The sequence below is a fragment of the Homo sapiens genome, chromosome X, assembly GCF_000001405.40.
Source record: "Homo sapiens chromosome X, GRCh38.p14 Primary Assembly".
Classification (NCBI taxonomy): Eukaryota; Metazoa; Chordata; class Mammalia; order Primates; family Hominidae; genus Homo; species Homo sapiens.
This window is the reverse complement of record NC_000023.11, coordinates 34,593,276-34,599,226: the sequence shown is the minus strand read 5'-3', so window position 1 is coordinate 34,599,226 and position 5,951 is coordinate 34,593,276. Positions and strand designations below refer to the sequence as shown.

The following is a 5,951-nucleotide window of genomic DNA, read 5'->3' as shown; positions in this document are numbered from 1 at the left end:
ATAAACTAGAAAATCTAAAAGAAATTGATAAATTCCTGAAATCATACAATATACAAAGACTGAATCAGGAAGAAATTGAATCCCTGAACAGATGAAAAACAAATTCCAAAATTGAAACAATAGTAAGTAGCCTACCAACCAAAAAAAGCCCTTTACCAGATGGATTCACAGCCAAATTCTACTAGATGTACAAAGATGAGGTAGTACCATTCCTATTGAAACTATTCCCAAAAATTGAGGAGGAGGGACTCCTGCCCAACTCATTTTATGAGGCCAGCATCATCCTGATACCAAAACCTTGCAGAGACACAACAAAAAAGGAAAACTTCAGACCAATATCCTTGATGAACATTGATGCAAAAATCCTCAAAAAAATGCTTAAAAACTGAATCCAGCAGCACATCAAATAGCTAGTCCACCACGATTAAGTAGGTCTTATCCCTGGGATGCAAGTTTGGTTCAACATATAAAAATCAATAAATGTGATTTATTACTAAACAGAAGTAAAGACAAAAAACACATGATTATCTCAATAGATGCAGAAAGTGTTTTTGATAAAATTCAACATCCTTCATGTTAAAAACCCTTAACAAGCTAGGCAATTAAGGAACATAACTTGAAATATTAAGAGCCATCTATGACAAAACCAAGCCAACATTATGCTGAATCGGCAAAAGCTGGAAGCATTCTCCTTGATAACCAGCACAAAACAAGGATGCCCTCTCTCATCACACCTATTCAACATAGTATTAGAAATCCTGTCCAGAGCAATCAGGCAAGAGGAAGAAATAAAAGGCATCTATATAAAAAGAGAGGAACTCAAATTATCCCAGTTGAGAGATTACATGATTCTATTTCTAGAAAATGCCATAGTTTTGGCCCAAAATCTCCTTCAGCTGATAAACAACTTCAGCAAAGTTTCAGGATACAAAATCAGCATATAAAAATCACTGGCATTTCTATACTCCAACAATACCCAAACCAAGAGCCAAATCAGGAAGGTAGTGTCAATCACAATTGCCATCAAAATAATAAAATAACTAGGAATACAGCTAACCAGGAAGGTGAAAGATCTCATTTAGAACTACAAAGCACTGCTTAAATAAATCAGAGATAATACAAATAATTGGAAAAACATTCCATGCTCATGGATAAGAAGAATCAATAGCATTAACATGGCCATACTGCCCAAAGGAATTTACAGATTTAATGCTATTACTATCAAACTATCAATGCCATTCTTCACAGAACTAGAAAACCTATTTTAAAAATTATATGGAACTGAAACAGAATCTGAATAGCCATGCAATCCTAAGCAAAGAGAACAATCTGAAGGCATCATGCCACCTGACTTCAAACTACACTACAGGGCTATAAGTCACCAAAACAGCACGGCAGTGGTACAAAAACAGGCATACATCAATGGAAAAAAATAGGTAACCCAGAAGTAAAGCCACACATCTGCAACTACCTGATCTTCAACAAACCAGCAAAAAAAAAAGCAATGGGGAAAAGATTCCCTATTCAATAAATGATGCTGCGATAACTGGCTGGCCATATGCAGAAGATTGAAACTGGACTCCTTCTTTACACCATATACAAAAAATCACCTCAAGATGAATTAAAGTCTTAAATGTAAAACCCAAAACTATAAAAGCTCTGGAAGACAACCTAGGGAATACCATTCTGGACATAGAAACTGGCAAAGATTTCATGACAAAGTCTCCAAAAGCAATTGCAACAAAAGCAAAAGTTGACAAATGGTATCTAATTAAGTGAAACAGCTTCTGTATGGCAAAAGAAAGTATCAACCAAGCAAACAGACAATATACAGAATGGGAGAAAATATTTGCAAACTATGCATCTGGCAAAGGCCTAGTATTCAGCATCTTTAAGTAACTTAAACAAATTTACAAGAAAAAAAATCTTATTGAAAGTCCATAAACACACACTTTTTATTTATTTTTATATGTATTATTATTATTATTATTTTTGAGATGGAGTTTTTCTCTTGTTGCCTAGGCTGGAGTGCAGTGGTGCAATCTTGGCTCACTGCAACCTCTGCTTTCCGATTTCAAGCGATTCTCCTGCCTCAATCTCCCTCGTAGCTGGGATTACAGGTGCCCGCCACCATGCCTGGCTAATTTTTGTATTTTTAGTAGAGGTGGGGTTTCACCATGATGGCCAGGCAAGTCTCGAACTCCTCACCTCGTGATCTGCCTGCCTCAGCTTCCCAAAGTGCTGGGATTACAGGCGTGAGCCACTGTGCCCACTGACGCTTTTTAAAAGAAGACATAAATGCAGCCAACAAACACATGAAAAGAAGCTCAATATCCCTGATCTTGGAGAAATGCAAATCAAAACCACAATGAGATACCATCTCACACCAGTTAAAATTGCTATTACTAAAATGTAAAAAAATAACAGATGCTGGCAAGGTTGCAGAGAAAAGAGAACGCTCTCACACTGTTGGTGGGAGTGTAAATTAGTTCAACCATTGTGGAAAGCAGTGTGGAGTTTCCTCAACGGCCTAAAAAAAAAGACTTCCATTCGACTTAGCCATCCCATTACTGTGTATATATCTAAAGGAATACAAATCCTTCTATCATAAAGACACATGCACGCATATGTTCAGTGTACCACTATCCACAATAGCAAAGACATGGAATCAACCTAAATGTCCACCAATGGATTATTGGATAAAGAAAATGTGGTACATATGCACCATGGAATATTTTGCATTCATAAAAAAGAATGGGACTATGTCCTTTTCGGCAACACGGATGGAGCTGGAGGCCATCATCTTTACCAAACTAACACAGAAACACAAAGCAAATACCACATGTTCTCGCTAATAAGTGGGAACTAAATTATGAGAACACATGGACACAAAGAAGGGAAGAACAGACACTGGGGCCTACTTGAGGGTAGGGGATGGGAGGAGGGAGAGGATCAGGAAAAATAAATATTTTTATTTATAATGATATTTATTATATATAATATATATGAAATAATATATAATATTTATAATAAATAAAATAAAAATAAATATACTAGGACTAGTACCTGGGTGACAAAATAATTTGTACAACAAACCCCCATGACATGAGTTTACCTATATAGCAAACCTACAGATGAACCTGTGAACCTAAGATAAAAGTTAAAAATAACAAAAACCAAAAGCATTTATTAGAGTGTATCTTATTGCTAAGTAAAACATTACTATATTTTATTTATGCTTCAAATATTAGTTTTTTAAAAATATAGAAACTAAAAAACAAAACAAAAGCATTTATATTTACCCACATATTTGCCGTTTCTGTCTCATTTCATTTTGTTATTGATTTCTGTTTCTCTCTAGTATCATTTTTCTTTGTAGTGAATGATTTTCTTTATCTTCTTTCAGAGGCCAGATCTGCTGTCAGCAAATTTCTTCAGTTTTTATCTGAAAAGGGCTATTATACATCCTGTGTTTTTCATTTTTTAAGGTACAAATTACAAACAGTAAAATTTACCCTTTAGGTATACAATTTTACTATTTTCAGAAACAGATAAAGTCATATATTTCCTTAATCACTATATAGAACACAGCCATCACCCAAAACATATTTCCATGTGGCCCTTTCAATTCAACCTGTCCTCCCACTCCCAGCCTCTAGTAGCTATGGACCTATTTTCTGTCCATATAATTTTGTCTTTTCCACATGAGCATATAAATGAAATCATGCTCTATGTATCCTTTAAATTTGGCTTCTTTCATTTAGCATAACAAATTTGAGATCTATTAAGTCATTGGATATATCAATAATTCATTCTTTTTTTTTTTTTTTTGAGACAGAGTCTCGTGCTGTCGCCCAGGCTAGAGTACAGTGGCTCAATCTCGGCTCACTGCAAGCTCCGCCTCTCGGGTTCCTGCCTCAGCCTCCCAAGTAGCTGGGACTACAGGCGCCCTCCACTATGCCTGGCTAATTTTTTTGTATTTTTACTAGAGACGGGTTTTCTCCGTGTTAGCCAGGATGGTCTCGATCTCCTGACCTCGTGATCCGCCCACCTCGGCCTTTCAAAGTGCTGGGATTACAGGCATGAGCCACCACGCCCGGCCAATTCATTCATTTTTATTGCTGAGTAGTATTTTATTGTGTGAATATACCACATTATTTTTGTTCATTCTACATTGGAAAAAAATTTCTATTGTTTCAAATTTTGGTGATTGTGAATAAAGCCACTATGAACATTCATGAGCAGATTTTTTTTGTAAACTTAACATTTTTATTTCACTTGTGTGAAGTTTCTGATTGTTTTGAACACTAAACTTTACAAGAAACCAATAAACTGTTTTCCAAAGTGGCTATACTATTTAGCATTCATACCAGCAATGTATTTCTAGTTGTTTCATAGCCTTACCAGTACTTATCAGAAATTATTTTGCCGTTCTAATAGGTGAGCAGTGGTACTTCATCATTTTAGTTTTGATTTCCCTAATGATCAATAATATTCAGCATACTTTCATGTACTAATTTGCCAACTGTACATCTTCTTTGGTGAAGTATGACAAGGAGTTTCTCCTTGACCAAACTTTATTCGGGCTTCTCTGCATTATCTTCCTAATTAAGGCTCAACTTTTGGACTTCCATGTCCATCTTTTCATTGCCCAATTTGGGGAAGAATCCTGCTAAATTGATTTAGCCAGAATCCTACATCCTTGATATCAAACGAAATCTTTGTCTCTCATCAGCCCCCCAGGTCTGATTACCCTGGCCTGTCTTTAGCAAAAATATAGCTAGGTCTGTTTAGTCAGAATCGCCCCCTTACCAGTTATGCTTCCCCTTAATAATTTCCATTTATTGATCCCCCTCACCAGTTATGCTTCCCCTTAATAATTTCCATTTACTGATCCCCCTCTCTACTCCCTGTGTATAAATTCCCACTTTTCCTTGTATTCAGAGTTGAGCCCAGTCCCTCTCCCTCTACTGCAAAACACCATTGCAGTAATCCATATACCTATTGCAGTAGTCCTAAATAAAGTCTTTCTTACCATTCTTTAGTGAGTGTCATGAATAACTTTTACTTTAACAAGTACCTGTTCAAAATTATTTTTCATATTACTGATTTTGAAGCATATATTCTGGACATAAGCCTTTCTCAAATTTGTGATTTGCAAATATTTTTTTCTAGTCTTTGATTGATCTTTTTATTGTTGTAATAGTGTCTTTTGAAGAGCAGATATTCCTGATTTTGGCAGCCATTGTTTCCAGTAAGAAGTCAATCACCATTTGTATTGTTTCTCCCTTGTTTCTCTACTTACGCTTCACCTCCCTGTATCGCATCCTGAAAACTACCCCCAGACAGAAACCAGGTTGAAAAATGACTTATCCCATGTGTTTCCCTCTCTTAAGTATCAAAGGTTTTTTTTTTTTTTTTTTTTCAGCTTTGCTCAGTGCCTGGAAACAGCTGTCTCAAAGAATGTGTCCAGTGCTACAGCAACTCATGATAAGAGGATAGGTCTTATCCAGTTACTACCTCATGGATATATGAAATATTCTAGCATGTCTACTCTCATTACTTTTATTTCTCCAATCTATATATAAAACAATCAATAATATGTTTTTGGATACCCACTATGAGTGTGTGTTCATTATTAAAAGATCCATATTCCCTAACTTATCAAGTTTACACTTTCATAGGCTTAAAAAAGAGAAGTACAGAAAGTATTCAAGAGTTTTTACAAGCTGTTGTTACGTCTTAAACATATCAAGATTTCAAGTTATAGGCTGTAAATGCGTGATTTCAGAGCTCATTGCTGCTCTGCATTACTTTCCATTATACCCAATTGAAACTTTCATCCATTTCCAATAATAATTCCAAATTTTATCTTCCTAATATCAGGATGATTAAGAGCATGAGTCTCCTTTATATGAATTCATTAATGAATATGATTTAACACTTTCATG

General features: G+C 35.6%; 1 annotated feature.

Annotated features, from left to right (window-relative positions):
- Positions 5,052-5,553: an enhancer, noted in NCBI's record as "NANOG hESC enhancer chrX:34611791-34612292 (GRCh37/hg19 assembly coordinates)". NCBI's record gives its function as "activates a minimal SCP1, AML or CMV promoter by ChIP-STARR-seq in primed H9 embryonic stem cells {active_cell/tissue: H9 hESC(primed)}" and the evidence as "EXISTENCE:reporter gene assay evidence [ECO:0000049][PMID:30033119]".